The sequence below is a fragment of the Homo sapiens genome, chromosome 12, assembly GCF_000001405.40.
Source record: "Homo sapiens chromosome 12, GRCh38.p14 Primary Assembly".
Taxonomy (NCBI): Eukaryota; Metazoa; Chordata; class Mammalia; order Primates; family Hominidae; genus Homo; species Homo sapiens.
In genome coordinates, this window is record NC_000012.12 from 5,800,764 (window position 1) to 5,820,911 (window position 20,148).

The 20,148-nt window shown below is 44.7% G+C and overlaps 1 protein-coding gene across 3 annotated transcripts in view, besides 3 other annotated features; it reads right to left on the reverse strand.

Moving 5' to 3' along the window:
* Window positions 1-20,148, reverse strand: part of ANO2 (anoctamin 2) — a 383,578-nt gene that overhangs the window by 238,109 nt on the left and 125,321 nt on the right. For all 3 annotated transcript variants that reach the window (NM_001278597.3, NM_001364791.2, NM_001278596.3), the window contains 2 exons: window positions 6,550-6,605; window positions 5,289-5,330 (listed from right to left, as the gene is read on the reverse strand). In NM_001278597.3, coding sequence (NP_001265526.1) covers window positions 5,289-5,330; window positions 6,550-6,605 — 98 coding nt within the window. The remainder of the gene's footprint in view (window positions 1-5,288; window positions 5,331-6,549; window positions 6,606-20,148) is intronic.
* Window positions 6,078-7,277: an enhancer, noted in NCBI's record as "P300/CBP strongly-dependent group 1 enhancer chr12:5916007-5917206 (GRCh37/hg19 assembly coordinates)". NCBI's record gives its function as "activates an origin of replication core promoter dependent on BRD2, BRD4, P300/CBP, MED14 and CDK7 cofactors, with strong dependence on P300/CBP, by STARR-seq in HCT116 cells {active_cell/tissue: HCT116}" and the evidence as "EXISTENCE:reporter gene assay evidence [ECO:0000049][PMID:35650434]".
* Window positions 11,966-12,465: an enhancer, noted in NCBI's record as "H3K27ac hESC enhancer chr12:5921895-5922394 (GRCh37/hg19 assembly coordinates)". NCBI's record gives its function as "activates a minimal SCP1, AML or CMV promoter by ChIP-STARR-seq in primed H9 embryonic stem cells {active_cell/tissue: H9 hESC(primed)}" and the evidence as "EXISTENCE:reporter gene assay evidence [ECO:0000049][PMID:30033119]".
* Window positions 18,046-18,559: an enhancer, noted in NCBI's record as "NANOG hESC enhancer chr12:5927975-5928488 (GRCh37/hg19 assembly coordinates)". NCBI's record gives its function as "activates a minimal SCP1, AML or CMV promoter by ChIP-STARR-seq in naive H9 embryonic stem cells {active_cell/tissue: H9 hESC(naive)}" and the evidence as "EXISTENCE:reporter gene assay evidence [ECO:0000049][PMID:30033119]".

Sequence of the window (20,148 nt, forward strand, 5' to 3'; positions counted from 1 at the left end):
GGGGCATGGTGAGCAGCTAGATATGAAAATCTGAAGTTCAAAGAAGAGTCCAGTACATTCGAGAGTTATTGAAGAGGAGGCAATTTGTAAAGTCATTAAATGATGGATGTTATTGCCAAAGAAGAGATAGTAAGTATAGAAGATGCCTGAGGTCTGGGCCCTGGGCACGCCACCATTTAGAGGTCAAGAGGGTGATGAAGAATGAGTAAAGGAGAGAGAAGGAGAGGCCCAGTGATGTGGAGGAGAACCAGAAGTGTGTGGCATCCAGGAAGCTAAGGGAAGAAAGGATTTCAAACAAAAGAAGATGACAAGCTGTGTCAAATGTTGCTAATGGGTCAGGTCAGATGAGCAGTGACCACTGGACTCAGTGGCTTTGAGGTCACTGATCACCTTGACAAGAGTGGCTCCAGGAGAGGGGTAGGGGCAAAACCAAACACATCAGGCCAGGCCATCTTGGAATATTTCTGCAGCAACTTTAGCAGGACTAACACGTGTCTCACTAAACCTGTGTATCAATCCCAGTAAATAAAATCATTCAGTAAAGGGTCATCATTAGACCTCATCTAGGTATCCATGCTGAATCAATATCGGCATTTTATTAGATTATATGTCTAGAATTGACAGATTTATAATACAGCTGCTATTTTGTTACATTATTTATTCTCCTACCACATCACACACATTTCACGAGGAAATCTGTCAAGGAGAACCTACTTTAATCAGGTACTTCGGAAGCCCATCTGAACATCAGCCCTACAGAGAGCCATCCTGTTTACCTAAGAATCTTTAAAGACATGATATTAAAATGGAAATGAGAACCAGCGTTCTTGCTTAAAGGTGATAGACTTTTATTGTCACAATGTCTTCCAGCAACTGCAAAACAGGAGCAGAAACTACACAGGCCCTGAAAGGGCAAACTGTACCAGCATTTACCACCACTCGCAATGGAGGAAACCCAGATACAAAAGGGGTCACTCAGTGCATGAAGGCAGAGGAACATCTGAATTCATGAGCACTGCTCCTGCTCACTCCAGGGCAGTGGCTAACCTAATCTTATTCTTATTAGTACATCTCCTCCTCCCACATCTTGGGTGCTTCTACTGCCTGAGTTTTTACTCCCTCCCCTGAGTGCAAACCCTGGGCTCTCCAACACCTGGTTGTCATAGTGACATCATTTGTTGCCCAAAGGGAGATATGCTTGCGTCAGGAGATGCAGGCAGGGCACCCCCTCGAGAGCTATGGGACGTCACTGTCTGCCTCATAGGCTCTGACCTCCAGAGCAAATTCCTCCCCAAGTCATATGTCCAGGCAAAACCTGAGCTTGAGAACACCTATCTGCCACTGCCCTGAAGGCAAAAACGAAAAATGTCCCAGGAACCCTGTATGGCCTCAACGGAGAGCTGACCTCAGAAGCCTTTTCCCTGGTTGAATCCCAGATCTGCTGAAAGAGACTTCCAGAAAGTCCCTCTCTCACCATGGTCTCTTCTAAGCACAAAGATGTATCCACAGCTTGTGGATATAGATGAGGAGGAGCCAAGAGAACTATCTGGGCTTGATACAGAAAAGCTAGAAGCATACAGAGGAGGCCGTGATCAGGCAGCCCCTGAAACAGACAGCTGGAGCTACAGAGCACCAAAGCTGGGAGGCGGTGCAGCAATTACGCCTGGATGCCCAGGCCAGCTCACACGCCTTCTGTCACCTGCAGGGGAGGCAGGGAGGGAGGTGGAGAGTGCTGTAGACCCTTCCCAATCTTTAAGAAGGTTTAGTCACACATAGTTAAGAGCAAGTGGATCATGCTGAACTCCAGCTTGCAGGGTCCCAGAAGGGACCAGCACTCAGGGTGAAGGGAGGCACACTCTGGAGTCCTGCCCCATATGGACCAGCATGGTGTGAGTAAAGCACAGACACGTAACAATCCCTTTAAACTTGCAGAGTCTAGAGCCTTCTAATGCAGCTCTTAGTGAATCCACTTTCTCCCTTACAGGTTCACCATGTCCTCTCTTCACCAACTGGCAAAGCTAGCAAATAAACCAGGGAGAGACTACTGCTCCTTCTTAATGGACAGTGCCTGATTCCAGAGCCCTGGATGTAATCCCAGATGTGTCTGTCTGCCCCAAGCCTTTACAGCAGGAACCATCCCACCTGATGGATCAGAGATAGAAGCAGCAAGTTTGGCTCCCCAGGGATCACATTTGACAGAGGTCATCAATTTAAGAATTTCACGAGACTATGAAGGAACTCAAGTGTTAAAAACCCTTTGCAACAACCCTTTGCAATGCCAGATAACATGAAGGTGTGTGGGACTCATGACCCTCTCTGAGGCCACAAGCTCCTCAGAGAGCAGCTAGACCTGAGACAGGCAGAAAGATGCTATAGCCACCTTGGAGGCATTCAAGGGACGGGGCATCCTGAATGGAAGAGACTTAGCTTCTGCTCCCAGATGCCACACTGACCTATTCGAACATTTTAGCCAGTAACCCCACCTCTCTAGGTCTCAGCGTCTCCACACAGTAACATGAAAGTCGTGCAGCACGGCAAAATGAATCCTCAGTTGGAACCAAGAAGAAAAGTGCCTTTCTTGTGAGGAAGGCAAGTCTTAAAATGCAGGAGTGACTCTCTCCACAGTTTTCAGTGGGTCACTTACTAACTATCCACTAGGGAAGACACCCACCTGCAAAGGCTGGAAAATCCAGGACTAAGGGTTTCCAGAATGCTAAAGGAAGTCACATCCAAAGTTCTACTTTGGGTTCTCCCCTGTAAGTGGGTGAAGAAGCCACAGAGAGCCAGTGGGAGCCGGGCAGCCCTGAGCAGATGGTGACAGCCACTTCTCTGGGAATTTCCAGGACACTAGGCAGCTTTGGCAAATGGGGAACTAGGCAGCTGCTGGAAGCCAGGAGGGACCCATCTACCCCCACGCTGCTCCCTCTTCCGGTTGTCCTGGCTTCTAGGAAGGCAGGAATTCCTTGTTCTCAAGACGGAGGAAGCCTCTTCTTAACGACCCTCCAGGAGGGGAAAGAAAGAGACTTCCAGCCCCTACCTGGGGCTGAGTCACGCAAGCTGCACAATAGCACCAGGTGAGCTTCAGGAGAGGGAGACTGACATTCTCTAGCGCCTCTTGGCTTGCCTAGAATCTGCCTGCAATGAGCCTGGGCCTTGGGGAGAACATGGGAACAGCCACAGATGGTAAGGAAGAGTGAAGGAGAACATCCAGGTGCTGGCAGGATGGGCAGGTTGGGACACCATGGCAAATAATCCCTACAGGCCCCAGAGAGGCCACCCTACACTGCGGCTCCCAAGCCTTCTCCATGTCCTTCAGCTCCAAATGCAGGGGTCCTTCCTTGCACCTAAGCAAAATGCTTCCTGCAACCACCTCGAAGAACACTTGACAGTTATAATATAATGAAAACAAATAAATATGCAGCACACACTTGGGCGTTTTTGCTCTTTCTCCTTCAGGATATGTTGTAGGCACCACCCACATACCACTAAAACTACAGAAACAAATCTAGCCCTGCCGTGAGAATCTCTCTTGCTTAACAGAAGAAGCTGTGTCAACATGACCACACAGCACTAGCTGGGATTTGGACACTAAGGTTTTAGTCCTGACTTCACGAACATTCAGGGACATTAAAACCAGTCTTCTCTCCTGGCTAGGTATCACCAAGACTGGCCAGCAAGCCCAAGGAAAGGCCACAAGAAAGGGTCATCTTGTCCTTCAAAGACTTGTTCACCTTCACGAAGCATCTTTCTGACATCAACTTTGGGAGTTATCCATGGAGATGCAATTCCATCCTGGCTGGGCTCTCCCTGCCTCCTAGTTCCCACCTATTCTACCAGGTGGAGTGGACCCTGACTTCATTATATCAGCCAAAGAGAAACATTTTCTGATGGGAAAATTTTTTGTTAAAAGGCATTGCTGTGGTTAACAGTAATTTCGTATCTTTCCAAAGACAAATACATATTTTTATATCTACAACATATATATTGTAAATAGTCCACAATTTACTTCTTCCATTAGTGCAGGTAACAGAAGGCTGACTGATCTCTCCTATGACTTGCTGTGTGTTCCTGGTCTCCGTAATGATCCTAGACAGGCTGGGGTCACCACCTGTTTTCTTACACAGGCAATGGATGGTGATCACCATTTAAAGGGAAGGAAGGAAAAATTAGAGAGTGGGAGGACAGAAAATGGTTGGGCGAGAGAGGTGAGATGTGGTGAGACATGCTTCCTCCTTTTCCTTTAAATCTGATGCGGGACTTTTCAGGAAATTAAACACCGAGACTATTAGCATCGGATAGAAAACAGATGAGGTTAAGACATCGCAATACTACAGCAGATTCCCTGGGCAGGCAGAGAGGGGACATGTGTAAGCAATCACCACAGTATTTCTGGAAAAGACCTTTTATGTTTTTAATACTTAACACTTCATAACAGGGACTAATAGGCAGGATAAAAAGAAGCCTGCTCAAAAGGCAACTTGGGGCATGAATGATTTTCCAGACAACAGAGTGGGGGAGGGAAGTTGCTTGAGCTTCAGCTCCTCAACCCTCCCACCATCGCCCACCCTCCTCTGCTCACTAGAGTTGTTGAAGGTGGGGAGAAGCCAGCAGGAGGATGGCATAAGGGGATCATCGGTGCATCCCCACTGAAGAGGTGGGGCCATTTTCCTTCCCCTAACTGTAACCTCCAATTCCTAGTTTCTTGAACTACAAAGCACAACTGAGCCTCCCTCACACTCAGATTGCTCATCTATAATTTGGGAGTGGCTATACTCCACCTGCCTGCCTAAAAGGAAAGAAGAATCACCTAAAGTTGACCCTCCAAAAGCTATAATGGCATGGATCATCACATGTTTTAAGCAAGAGCCCTGGATTTGAGGGCTAGAGGTGTTCCGAGCCCCATCTCTGTTTCCTGTGGCTGTGTGATCTAGGCCAAGGTGCTCAAGTTTCTGTGCCTCCATTTCTGCATATATCAGTTAAGGAATTTGGACAGCCAATGTTTCTCAACTGGTGCTCTCTTGCCATGGGAGGGTGGGGTGAGGGCTGTGTGTGGAGGGCCATTGGATATATTTCAGAACAGTTGGCATTGTGGCTCTCCAGGCACTAAATACAGTAGCAACCACCCTCACATTTCCAAATACCTGGGTGGGGGAAAGGGGGGAGCTGGTAAAATTGTTGGAAAGTAGATAAGCAGGTAAAGAGAACATCTAAGACACTTCTAGCCACTTCCACACCCACCCGTAGTCTCGCATGCCCAAAGTCCAGGATGCTGCACGAGGCAGGCTTACCTTCCTGTCATTCATATCGTCCTCTGGACTATCGTATTCACCCTGTGGAGAAAAAGTGATGCTGGATAAAGCCAATGAAATTACCAGAAGCAGGTGCCAAAGGAGAAAGGATTTTCTTTTTTATTTTCTAATATCATTGCTTTTTTTTCATTCCCATTTAAGGAAGGTCAAAAGCATGGCATGGTAAGGGGCTGATATTCCATTTTCTGAGCCATCAACACTTGCCACATTTCCTGGGATAACTTCTCACATGAAGATGTGCCCCCTCATCCACTTCAGAGATCAGCCTGTGCCCCCTCGTAGCAATGCAATGGCAGAGCTCCAGACTTTAAATGGTTTAGCCCATCACGTGAAAAGCACCTGTGCCATGACATGCTCACTCTGTCCGTAACTGCAGAACTTAGCAGTGCATATGCCACTGCAAATATGTCAGGAATTAGAAGACTGCCATCCGAAAAATTCCTGCTGGCAGTCAGGGAGCCCCACCTCAGCAGTCTCAAATGGCACTACCGCATGGCACGTGCCCAAGACCTGACCAGTCTGATGAATAGTGAAGCCATGGAGCATTTAGCTCAAGGACCAGTTACATTCTCGTAAACTGTCTTGAAGAATACCATTGCATTGTATCATGGTATGTTCGTAACATTATCTCCAGTCAAGGAGAGATTTCATTACAGTCATTCTGTTTTCTTTACTTAACCAAAGCATTGTACAAGGAATTCTGAGAGATTTTCTTCAAAAAAAATTTTTTTTAAAATAATGATCTTTCGTTAATATGTACCTGCATGTTAAGGAGGAATTTCACATCTGCACAAAACTCTCCCATACAAAATATCACTTTCAGGCAGCTAAGGAGACGTCTGACAGTCCAGGTTAGGGATTACTCACGCCTTTCAGTCTCCTTCCACCACCATCCACCACCCTCATCAATATCTCCTCCCTTTAATCACCTCATGCCACATCTGTATAGTTACACTTTTGCTAAAAATAAAGCTAGGGAGTACAAGAAAAGCTCAAACAAAGCCCAGTTTATTGTGTCATCTGGGGAAATCATTGCCGAGACAGTTTGAGATGATTGGCAAAAATCAAACTGGGGATTATTGTCAGCAATGAGTGGTCCAGGGTCAGTCAAGGTATTTTAATGTCATGATTCACTCCTGCCTCACCCTGCAGGTATTCACCCATCTCACTGCCACTGAAAAGTTGTGGTTTTCAAAGTTTTGAAGACTACAGAGAGCACGCTGATGAAAATAGTACTTACGTCATGAAGAGGGTAGGCAGCCTCATAGATATTGTTTGCGATCAGAGAGTTAATACCTACGGAAGAAAGGGAGATGAAAATAGTAACTCTGGGGCAAGCGTTTCTCAACTTAACCCCTGTTTTTTGATAAATAAGCTTTCACATGCCCCCCCAGTTGAGAATCACTGCATCCTCCTCTATATCATCCAGGCTAGAACTTTTTGTCAAGCTCTGGTTCTTAGTATAAGAACAATATTGTTTCATTCTCTAAATACAAAATTATGTTTTAATATCAAATATGCTGTCTCAAAGTTCACATTCCTCCTGTCTTCAAAGATTCCAGTCATTCCATTCCAATAACCTTCCACCACCATCAGGTGAGAATCTCTGTGCTCCATGACCGCATAGGAATGGTTATATGGATCATTTTAATCATGATCTATAAAAGTGTATGAGAGCATCCGACTGCACTTTGAGCTCCTTCCTGCTGTTTCACAAGGCAGCGTTCGCTGTGACTGATCTGCCGCCTGGACCATAATATCCCTGAGGTGGGCAGGAAGCAACAGGGCAGTGGTTCTCAAAATGTGGTCTGGGGAGCCCTGGGAGTCCTCATGAGGCTTTCGGGGGTCCCTGGAGGAAAACTATTTTTCTAACAGCACTAACGGTTTCTAACTGCTTTCTCACTCTTCCTTCACAAGTACATAGTGGGGTGTTGTGGCACATGCTGACATCATCCCCTATGGCTAATGGCATGTGTGTTTGTGTATTCTTGCACTTTCACAATTTCTCAGCCTTAACTTCTCATGCAGTAAACATTGGTCGACATAGTCATGCAAACACCCTTTGGGTGTTCCCAATAATTTTTAAAAGTGTGAAGTTACCCTGAGACCAAAAAGTTTGAAAACTATACAAGGGATTTATGTTTTAATTCCAACAGTGTCTCACACCACTTGCACATAGCAGACCCTACTAAACAAATGTGAAATGAACAAATGGCTCTGTCCCTCCAACTCCATTATACTCACAACAGAGAACCTTCTGCGCAGCATAAAGTCGTCGTTATTTACTTGTTTCATTCTTGGTTTTTTTCAGAGACTATAAAGTGGTCTGTGTGTTCTGTCTGAGTCGGGATGGTCTGTCCTAGGTCGCTGGCTTCCAGATGGGAGGGATTATGTCTCACCAACTCGTAGTACCAAGGATCCCGCCATACGAGGATCCACATTTAATCATGGAGGGGGAGGAGAGGGGGAATTTCTGGTACACAATGATTTCCCTTGTCTCGCACTTACTTTCTGCCCTGAACCATTCTTTCCAAAGAGACTGTAGACTGTAGTGAGATGAGGAGATAATTGGTTTTGGAGGGAAAGATGTATGATGTCCAAATGCTAAGAAATCTGCATTTGCATGGCTCTGAATAAACGCCGAGGTTGGATAACAAATCTAGACAACATTTACTCATTAAAATTCATGGCTTCCCACCTCCCGCTCTTACCCAATGCCCCACCCACATGCTCAGAGACCCGCAGAGGATCTCAGACAATCCTCTCCCCTCCATCAGCCTCCTCTTCCTCAAACCTCGCCCCCATTTGCCACAGTTCCAGGACATTGGATGGCACAAAGACTATTCTCCAGGCCCCACGTGGGAGCAGAGGCCCGCGGCAGGCTGCCAGGTGTGCCCAGTAGAAGTGGCTGCTCTTCCAATGAGTTGAAAGCTAAGTGTTTTGGTACTGCTGCGTCACCAAAGGGCCAGTCCTTTCCTGATTTTAAGTTTCTTCCTTGGCATGCACATAAAACATGAGAAATAACTTTGTGGGGTGAGAGGAGCAGAGGGTGGGGAGAGGGAGTGCAGATGGGGGAAGGGTGCCTGGAGGTTCGCTAAGCTGCAGATTTGTCTGACTCACAAGACTACAATTTCACTCTGAGCATCATTACTCAGTTCAAGAGCCATAACCACAGCAATGTGAAGCCACCCTACCATAATCAAAGGGAGGAGTCCCAAGCCGGGAGGGGAGTTTGTGGGAGTTTGTAGTTAAAAGCTAAAGCTACAAAGTGCTGTAGGCATGGATAGAGGTTGAAGCATCACAGGCGGGTAAGGCCCCAGCTAGACCGCACCCCAGAACCTACCCAACCCAATCCATACAGTCACACCCCACAGTTGCTGTGGCAGCTGTATATACCCTTAAGACAGTCCCAAAACTCTGTGGAAAAGTCCAGCAGTTGTTTTCACCGACTTAGCTCATCTGCTAATTCTCAGCTGGACTTTGCACGGTAGCCGAGTGTCTGGAAGCATCAGACCATTAGACCGACAACCTGAACTCCTGGTCCCAGCTGCCAGATCCTCAGAAATGCCTCAAATTATTGGGACATTAAAGCCATGCGCCCTATCCCCCATCTTAAATAAAGCTTCCTGTGCACGGTGCAGCTGGAAGTGGGCAGCTTGCTTCACTTCCAGGACAAGGTTTGCTCATTGTTTTGTGTTCCCCAGAGGCCTGACCTGCGTCAGAGAGCACTCCTCTCACCTGTGCGTCTCACCGCACTTAGCTCACAGCTGGAAACACAGAAGAGATGGCAGCCCTAACAGTCACCGGCCCTACGGCTGCAGTTATCTCAGTACTCCTCTTGTTCATCGCCTTCCTCACTGCTTTGTTGAGCATTCTATGCTCATGAAGAAACTTTTACACTCCAGCTGATTGTTCTGCCTCCTAAGACAGAAAGTCAAGGTAAAAGGTCCTTTGCTTTGGAGCAAAGATTCAAGTTATAAAACCAGAGTTGTCCTGACTCAGATAACCAGAGCCCCCAAAATGCCGCAACTGGATGTTTCTCTGTTCCCTCTAGCTGTGTACTCCCTACTTTTCAGGTGGTATCCTATGGGTGATCCCAATCAGTGGCTGATAAGGGAAGGGAGGAGAAAGTACATTAGAGGAGGAGGAATGGGGCAGGAGAGGCATGTTGAAAAGTAAGCATCCATCCACAACTTTACCCAACAACAGGGATTTGCTTTGGCCTCCCCGTTCACCCAGACTTCAGAAACCAAGATTCTACCCCCAAACAAGCATGGAAATCAGTTTAAAACAAGAAGAAAATAATCAAACGTTTTTAAAAAAGAGTCCCTGCTTTGAAAATTGAAATTCTGATTTTTTTCTTTCTTTTCAGCAAAAAATGGGCTAATTGGTTCCATCATGCGCCATCCATCTGGCCATAATGGCAAAGCTTTCTTCTTCAGGATTGCATCTATATTCTTTCCTCTCAGCTCTCGACCCAGGGAGAGACAGAGAGACCCAACCTTTTGTCCTGTTACTTTCAGGATGGGAGACAGTGAGAAGAAGAAAGTGCTGAGGACATTTTCCTTTCCCTGTCTCCCTTAACAGGAACAACGTCTCAGCTCAAAGTATAGCCCCTGAGGAGCCCCTTACTGATCCTCGAAGTCAACGTGCCCATGTCTCCTTCAAATCACCAGGTACTTCATGCCTAGTGCTTAGAACTAAAAACCTCCAAAGGAAAAGACTCATGTTTCCTCCCTGCCCAGCATGGACCACACATCTGTGCAGCCTGACACAACCAGGCCTAGCAACACTGTCCCACATCCACAGGGGCAGGGCCAAGAAACATGACCAGGGAAGGCTTAGGCCCCAGCATTGGTACCTGAAAACACATACTTGTCATACAAAGCCTGAGACCTAGCATTAAGCTTCATAGACATATCTGGTTTCCTGGACACAAAGGAACAACCAAAGCACAGAAGTTTATGGTCTACCTCCCAAAGAGTCTCATTAAATCTACAAGTGCTGCTGGGTGACAGGGACTGCAGTGCCATTCCCTCCAGGCCAAACTCAAAGGAAACTTTTATCCATTGGGACAGGTACTTAGAGGAATGGTGCCATACTCCTGAAAATCCATTTGGTTTTGATTCTCCCCAGAAAAGGGCCCAGTCCACCCGGCATTGTGCTTTCATCCCTGCACTCCAGCCGGACGTAAATCTAAACCAGAACTCCCAGACGGTGCATTTAACAGAGACTATATTTACCCATCACCAAATTGTCTTGACGTGTGCTTAATTACTTAAATGCCTTTAATCCCAAGCCTTTTCTTCTAAGAAAATGTAAACCAGTTCAGCTGGATGAATGATAAACCAGATGTTTACAACACACAACATGGTCTGGCTTTGGTCAAAATAATTAAGACATCGTCTCCTGATTGGGGAGGGGAGGTTCCCAAAGAATACATTTTGTTTAAAGACTCTGACACCAAAATGTCCACGAAAATATAGTTCCATCAACCTGTAATTTTCTGTCCATAAAAAAGCAACAATAACTTTCATATGAAGGAGCAAGAAAGGTGTTTACCCTCCTCTGATATGGTCAATGAGGCTTGAGTTTCTTTCCATGGCAAAGTGCACTAAAAAGTTATTCAATAGTAAAGTCAACTCCCAGGGCCCTGACAATTGACCTTAGGAAAGATGATATTGATTAAGGAGGCATCATGATCACTCCCACACTTCCACCACAATGCAGTACCCAAACTCACAAATATTTTCAGTCTCTGAATGTGATGGGCATTAATCCATAATCTCCCACTTCCAGGGGTAAATAAGAGAGAAAATAAGAGGGAAAGGTTGAGTTGTTTCTCTTGAGGTTATGAAAGAATTCTAAAAAGTTTGATCATTAGTCCAACCATACCTTTTCAAGGTCAACTCCTCCTGCTTTGCCATTTTATACTAATTTTAAACACCACCCCCCAAAAGAGAGAAAGGGAAGGGAAGGGTAAGGGAGGGGAGGGGAGAAGAGGGGAGAGGAAGGGATGGGAGGGGAGGGGAGGCGAGGCCAGGGAAGGGCAGGGAAAATAGTGCAGGGCAGGGCAGGGGAGTGGAGGGGAGGCAGGGCAGAGCAGGAAAGAGAAGGGGAAGGGAGGGAAGAAAAGGGAAGGAAAGGGAAGGGAAGGGGGAAGGGGAAGGGGAAGAGAGGGGAAAGGAGGGAAGGAGAAGGGAGGGAAACACAGGGCAGGGGAAAGAAAGAAGAGGAAGGAAGGAAGGGAGGGAGGGAGGGAAGGAGGGAGGAAGGAAGGAGGAAGGAGAGAGAAAGAAAAAGAAAGAAAGAAAGAAGGGAAGGAAGGAAGGAGGGAGGGAGGGCAGGCAGGCAAGCAAAAGAAAGAGAGAAAGGAAGAAAGGAAGAAAGGAAGGAAGGGGGAGGAAGGAAGGAAGGAAGGAAGAAAGGGAGGGAGGGAAGGAGGAAGGGAGGGAGGGAGGGCAGGCAGGCAAGCGAAGAAAGAAAGAAAGAAAAAGAAAAAAAGAAAGAGAAAGAAAGAGGAAGAAGAAAAAGGAAGGAAGGTGGAAGGAAAGAGGAAGGAAGGAAGGGAAGGAGGAAGGGAGGAAGAGAGGGAGGGAAGGCAGGCAAGAGAAAGAAAGAAAGAGAAAGAAAAGAAGAAGAAGGAAGGGAGGGAGGGAGGCAAGAGGGAAGGGAGGAGGGGAGGGAGGGAAGGCAGGCAAGTGAAAGAAAGAAAAAGAAAGAAAGAAAGGAAAAAAGGAAGGAAGGAAGGGAGGAAGGAAAGAAGGAAGGAAGGAGAAGGACAGAAGGAAGGAAGGAGAAGGAAAGAAGGAAGGAAGGAGAAGCAAACAAGCAAGCAAGAAAAAGAAAGAGAGAGAAAGAGAGGAAGGAAGGAAGGAAAGAAGGAAGAGAGGGAGGGAGGAAGGAAGGAAGGGTAAGCAAACAAGCAAGAAAGAAAGAGAGAGAAAGAAAAAAAGAAAGAGAAGAAACAAAGAAAGAAAGAGGAAGGAAGGAAGACGAAAGAGGAAGGAAAAAAGGAAGAGAGGAAGGAAGGAAAGGAAAAGAAGTTCCAGAGACCTAGCTGGTGGCTAGGGCATTAAAAGGGACTGAATGCCAAATGTTCATACAATATTAGAAAAATAAAAACTAGGCCCTTCACAGATAGACTTGGTTATCTTTGGGGGGTCAGAACCCCAGTGGTCAAATCCCCAGGAGGCAGGAGGCAGAGTACTTTGCAATACACTTCATATTCCCAAGTGTAAGTAGGTCATGAAGACTACAACAGTGCACCCTATCTTTATTTTTATCTTTTTCTTTTGTTCACTCTAGAGTTCCTAAGAATCACTGGGTAGATTATTAAATATGCAGATCTTCGGACCTTGCCCCTGCAGATTCTGATTCAGCAAATGTGGCATGGGACCTGGACAGCCAGGGTTTTAGCAAGCACACCAGGTGATTCTGATGCCAATTACATGCAACCACACCTGACCACCGTCGCCCATAATCACATGCAAAGAATTGCTATAGGAGTACAAACTTCTTCCAACCATCCTCACCAACTGCTCTGGATGCTCCTTATTCTCCATCTTCCCTTTCACTACAATTGTCTCCTCTCAACCTCTCTGAGGCCTGCGGACATCACGCAACCCCAAGTCCTGGCCACACCCCTGGTACCTGCTCTCTGTGAACTTTCAGGAAAGCCAGTTCCCTCCCTGGGCCTCGTTGGCTCATATGTACAGATCATGTGGCTCCTTTGAATCACAGAGTCTGGGAAATGTTAGAGTCAGAAAGAAGCTTAGAGAGCACTGAGAGGCCCCATTTGTTTTATGAGGGGAGAAACTGGCCCAGACAGGGAACATGGCTTGACCGAAGTTTTACAACTTGTTCATCCCAGAGCTGGAACTGGCACCCACTTCTCCAGCCTTGCCAGCTGTGTGCCTATCTTCCATCTTCCCCTTCCAGATATACTCTCTACGGTCCTCTATCTGACATGAACAGGCTGCTGTGCTCTCTGGCTTCCTACTGCCATCAGCAGTATTGAGACCCCTGGCCTTCTGCCTAAATAGTCACCTGCTCAAGGTCACCTCCTCTACCCAATTCCACGTTGCAGTGACCTCTCTATCTTTCTGCAGGTCTAGGGATGATAAGAGCTCTACTATTGTTAATTCCAGGTTACAACGCCGTCCCTGGCATTCCCCAACTCCCTGCCAATCCCTTTGTAAATGGTTTCTCTATACATATGCCCACCTTGAATTACCCTAATTGGGGTGTGCTATTTGTTCCTATTGGGACCCTAACTGGTTATCTGGAATTGCCACCACCATGTCTTCTGTGTTATTTGCTTTCCTTGCATGTATCTGTCTTCTCACAGCCATGTGGCTTGCTCCCTGTTTTCCTCAAATATTACATCAGGAAGACCTTCTCCGACTACTCTATTTAAAATACCTTCCCACTCCCACTTCATTTTCATCTCCTTTATTTGCTCTATTCTTTCTCCTGACCCTTATCCCTACACGACATCCTATCCATTGTATTTACTTCTTGGTTTATTTTCTGTCTTCCGTAACTAGAAAGTAAGCCCCTTAAGGGCAGGAATTTGTGTCTGTTGGATTCACTACTCCATTCCCCAGGTCCACAACATGAATGTCACATAGTAAGTGCTCAGTAAATACGTGTTGAATGAGTGAATGGATGTTATACTGGGAAGGGCTCAGCTTCCACCTCTTCTGGGAAACTTTTTCCAATAACTTTATCCATTTCCTAATTAAATTAGTTAAAAAGCAATGACAAAGAGTCAAGAAACCTAAGTTCTAAACCCATTTCCAAAGTTCTAGCTGTGTGTATGCCAGTTAATCTCTCTGTTGTGAAGTTAATTAACATCTGCTGAAGCTACTTTGCTGGCAGTTTAAAGGATCAAATGAGATAATGAGCGTTAAGGTGTTTTGAAAAACATACAACTGCAAGCATGCAAGGAGTCCTTATTACTTTGGTGACAGTAACACCTCATTTATCAGAGGCCTCTTATCTGGTTATCTCAGCTCTCACAACAGAAAACCCAGAAACAAGAAAAAAATAAATGAGCAGCTAAAATAGATCTCACAAAACCTACTTTCTAATGCGATGTCCCTTTTCCACAGCAGAATCCTTCAGACCTCCTGCCATGCATTTTACACTCTCTTTACCCAAAATTCTAATGAGCTTGTTTTTCCATCTCCCACACTGCAAAGTGAAACTGAGATAGCAAAACTCGGGGAGGGAGGTTACCAGAGTCAAGAATTCAAGAAATCAGAGCAGTGTGGGGCAAACAATCCTAATAATGCTTTGATAATTCTTGAGAGAACATGAAAATCATTATGTTCTTAATGATGATCTTGAATAATCCAGAAAATTTGTCATACGCCTTTATGTGGAGAATATATGTAGACATGTTCTACATAAGACGCCTTTATGTGGAGAATATATGTAGACATGTTCTACATAAGCAAGCAGGAAATTGTGTGATAGACTTTAGAAAGATTTCTGTACAGAAAGATATTGCTGTAGGCAGCAAGAGCTACACCCCTGACCATATTCCCCCTTTCACTTTGGTTCAAGGTTAAATTTGCAGTTCAACTGTAGAAACTAGAAGACATTATGGTTTGCATATGTGTTCTATTTTCTTCCTCCTAGTTTTGACATTCTATTTTAATTTATTTTCTCTGGTTCTTATTTTTCAATTTATTTTTATACTATGCTGTCTTATTGTTTTTCTTGTAAGCTACCCCAGAAATTTTGTGGAACAAGGCAGGAATATAAATATATCACTACATACTACTTGTATATAGGTTAAAGCTTTGTAAAAGTAGGCATTCAATAAAAACGTATTGTCTACAAAGAAAAAAGAGACATTACTAGATAAACAGGAGTGTTTCCAAGTTATTACTATCTTTAGTATCTTTTCTATTTTCTAATATTTAAATTGGGTACAATGGGAAAGAGAATTAGCTTTGTAAGTTGGTTGCAAAAGAAATGACCATACAAAAGATAATCTGAGGGTGAAGGATCAATGAAAACACCTACGATTCCAAATCCAGTCCTGTTCTCCCTTTCTCTCTCTCTCTTTTTTTTTTTTAATGAGGAAACAACCTTCTGGAGGAATATAAGCCGATTCTAGTCACTCATGCTTCTCTTCCACCCCTTATAAGCCAGAAAGAAAGGCAATAAAATCTAAATTTACCCTGTGGCTCAGGCCTCCATATTATCTTGGGGCCTCATGGAGTTATCACATTCCTCATTTTTTTTTTATCTTCTAAATAAGATTGGTAAGTTCACCAAAGAGCTTAGAGGGCACTTGGTCTTCATGGGCAGAAGTCAACCCACTGGAAATCTGGCCTTTGGGTTCTCCTCTGCTGAGAAGTAGAGTTCAGTCACATGTCTCTTGTTACAAAGCTAGTAAGTCCTCAGTGGCTACTGTGAAGTTAACAGACTCTAAAGACTCAGCCTAATTCCACTCCTACTCTGTAGCATCCCAAAGGTATTGGAAATACGATTAGAGCAAGAGTACCCAAGTTCTAGACTCATTTCTGACTCAAGATGTAACCCTGGGCAAGTCACGTATCCTCTTTGTGCCCATCTGTAATTGGAGATGATCACTCCTGACATACGTAAGTTTCCTGGGAGCAATGATTTACATTGATACTTAGACATATAGAGACATACACATGGACATTAATTGCCTCCTCCCCTGTGTCCCAACTGCACTCTGTATGTATCTCTATTATAGCACCTACCACATTGCCTCATCACAATCTGTTTCCACGTCTGTCTGCATGGCTAAACTAAGAGCCCCTCAAGGGTAGAAATTATGCTAAACTCAGCTTGGCATCCCTCCGTTTCTCTAACATCATTTGACACATAGCAGGTGCTCATTAAATGTTTTTTGAATGTCAAAAAGGAAAGACAAAATTATAAATACAACTCAAAAACAACAACAAAATCCTGACATTTGACTTTGAGACATCACCAAAAAACCCTCAGATTCTCACACACACAATAAAAAACCTCAATGTTAAAGCAGAGGGCGTCTAGTCTCTAGTGGCCTTCCAACAACCTGGGGATTGTCCCCCAAAATAAACTTTTGTTTTTAGGACTTTCCAGTTTACAAAACAAGCTAACAGCCGCTTATTTCATCTTTACAAAAACTCTGCAAGATAGATATTATTATCCCCATTTTACATAAAAGTAAGCTGAGATGCAGAGAGGTTATTTGTCCATGAACACACATAGTCAGAAACTGACCAGAAACTGCTGTGGGACTAGCAGGCTGGGCATTTTTAAATTAATCCATTCAATCAAATCAACTGAGTAGAATGTGTGAGACACGCAGTGAGGTGCACTGGGGCATAGAAGATGACTCAGAAATATCTCAAGGACTCACTGCCTTAGGAGTCTAAGCCACGGGTGTAGAAAACAAGCAAGAAAGAGATTCGGTTTGATAAGAGCTCCAAGGAAAGGGCTTTAAGGAAAAATCTGGAGGACAGCGATGTTTGATGTGGGGATAGGCATCACTGAGATTGGGGAAAAACACAGGCAGGACATTCAGGAAAAGGAAACAGCATGAGCAAAGACAGAGAAAAAAGTGGTCATATTAACAGGAAGAGGAGCAGGAGAGAGAGAGGAGAGAAGTGGATATGCTATTTTGAGGTTCTGGTGAACATCTAAGTGGTGGTATCCATCCAGCAACTGGAAATGCAGGGCTGCAATTGGTGAGAGAAACAGGAGCAAAAATAGATGGCTGCAAGTCATCTATATAGAGAAAATAGAGAGTGCAAAAGCCAAAGGAACTTGGAAGCTGACAACATCTAAAATGTGGAAGAAGGAAGAGAAATCAAGGAAAATGTGGCCCATGAGGCAGAAACAGAAGGAGAGCAGTTGAGTAGGTCAACAGCACCTTCCAACAACTATCAGAAGATGGAGGTGCAGTAAAGAAGGCTTGGAAGGATGCAGGAAGTTGTGGAAGATGAAGACTGAGAAGAAAAAAACATGAACTATGGGAGGTGTGATGGTTAATACTGAGTGTCAACTTGATTGGATCGCAGGATGCAAAGTATTAATCCTGGGTGTGTCTGTGAGGGTGTTGCCAAAGATTAACATTTGAGTCAGTGGGCTGGGAAAGGCAGACCCACCGTTTAATCTGGTGGGCACCATCTAATCAGCTGCCAGTGCAGCTACAATATAAAGCAGACAGAAAAACATGAAAAGACTATACTGGCCTACATCTTTCTCCTGCGCTGGACCCTTCCTGCCCTCAAACATCGGACTCCAAGTTCTTCAGTTTTGGGACTCAGACTGGGTTTCCTTGCTCCTCAGCTCATGGGAGCTTGTGATCATGTGAGTTAATACTTAATAAACTCATATTATATATATATATATATATATATATATATATATATATATATATATATGGATATGTAATAGGATATATATATATATCCTATTAGTTCTGTCCCTCTAGAGAACACTAATACAGATTTTCTACCAGGAGTGGTTCTAGAGGAACAGAATATTAAGGATGGAGTTCTTTCATTGGTTTTGGGGTTTCTGGAGTTGGCTGCTTAATATGATTAGACCCCAAAATGCTAAGGACTCTACTTCTAATAGTATGGAGAACACTGATAGTCCTTGGCATGAACTGTTTAGAGAGTTATGCAAAATAAATGCATTTGACACTCCTGATTCACTGCTCATGACAGGCAAGGAGATTAGTGACTCTGTACATAATACCTTTGACCATATGCAGGGAACCAAGGAACATAATGAAGCGGTTGGTTGCTCCTAAGTTCAGTGGACAAAGTGATGAAAGAAAATGATGAACTCAGGGATTCTAACTCCCAACTTCAAAAGCAGATTCTGAGCATCAAATCTGCTAAGATGGCCCTGAGTGACAGTCTTATCTCCTGAAGACAAAGAGCTGAAATTGTGGAAAAACAGACACAAGCTCTTATCATGCGAGTGGCTGACCTGCAGTGAAAGGTGCATTCACAGCCTCTCCAGGTATCTACTGTTAAAGTCAGGGCATTGATTGCAAAAGAATGAGATGCAACAGTGATGGCCTCCCCTGAGGCAGTTGCCAGGCAAAATAATGTTGATTCTCCTCAGGAGCCACCCCCAACACCCCTGTTTGCTTCTAGACCTATAAATAGACTGAAGCCCCAGTGGGCCCTTAGATGTGAGGTTGACAGTATGACCCACGAGAAGGTGCACTACATTAGAAAAGAACTGCTTGAGTTTTCTAATTTATATAAACAGAAATCTGGATAACAGGCATGGGAATGGATATTAAGGATATGGGATAATGGTGGAAGGAACATAGAGTTGGATCAGGCTAAATTTATTGATTTGGGCTCATTAAGTAGGGACTCTGCATTTAATGTTGCAGCCTGGGGAGTTAAAAGGGGTTCTAATAGTTTATTTGCTTGGTTAGCTGAAATATGGATTAAAACATGGCCCACTGTGGTGAGCTGAAAATGCCTGATCTCCCTTGGTTTAACGTAGAGGAAGAGATCCAAAGGGTTAGGGAGATTGGGATGGTGGAGTGGATTAGTCACTTTAGACCTACTCATCCTAGTTGGGAAGTCCAGAAGATATACCCTTGACCAATGCCTTGTAAAACAGATTTGTGAGGGCAGCACCTGCATCTTTGAAGGGCCCTATAATCACTCTTCTCTGTATGTCAGATCTAACAGTGGGAACCACAGTCACTCAACTATAAAATTTAAATACAATGGGAATAATTGGATCCTGAAGTGGCAGGGGCCAAGTGGCAGCACTCAACCATCAAAGGCAAGGTGGGTGTACCTACTGTAATGGACAGCAGAGGCAAAGCAGCAATCAGAATAATCTGACTTATGTAGAGCTCTGGCATTGGCTTATTAATCACAGTGTTCCTAGAAGTGAAATTTATAGGAAGCCTACTGCATTCCTACTTAATTTATATAAGCAGAAAACTTCTAGGTCAAATGGACAAAAGACTAATTTGAATTATAAAAACAGAGAATCATGGCCCATCAATCAATTTCCGGACTTGAGCCAGTTTACAGACCCAGAACCCCTTGATTGAAGGGGAGGTTGGGTCCCCTTGAGGAAGGACCCCACTATACTACTGACAATTTATGCTGTTAATCTTTCTCCCATCCTTCCCCAAGGAGACCTCCAGCCTTTTATCAGGGTAACTGTGCATTGGGGTAACTGTGCATTGGGGAAAGGGATATGATCAGATTTTTGGGGACTACTGGTCATTGGCTCTGAGATGACGTTGATTCCAGGGGACCCAAAACGTCATTGTGATCCTCAAGTTAAAGTAAGGACTTATGGAGGTCAGATAATTAATGGAGTTTCAGGTCAGGTCTGACTTACAGTGGGTCCAGAGGGTCCCCAGACTAATCCTGTGGTCATTTCCCCAGTGCCAGAATGCATAATTAGCATAGACATACTTAGCAGCTGGCAGAACCCCCACATCGGCTCCCTGACTGGTAGGGTGAGAGCTACTATGGTGGGAAAGGTCAAATGGAAGCCATTAGAGCTGGCTCTACCTAGAAAAATAGTAAATCAGAAACAATATCGCATCCCTGGAGGGTGTGCAGAGATTAGTGCCACCATCAAGGACTGAAAGACACAGGGGTGGTGATTCCCACCACATCCCTCTTCAACTCTCCCATTTGGCCTGTGCAGAAGACAGATGGATCTTGGAGAATAACAGGGGATTACTGTAAGCTTAACCAAGTGGTAACTTCAATTGCAGCTTCTGTACCAGATGTGGTTTCATTGCTTGAGCAAATTAACACATCTCCTGGTACCTGGTATGCAGCCACTGACTTGGCAA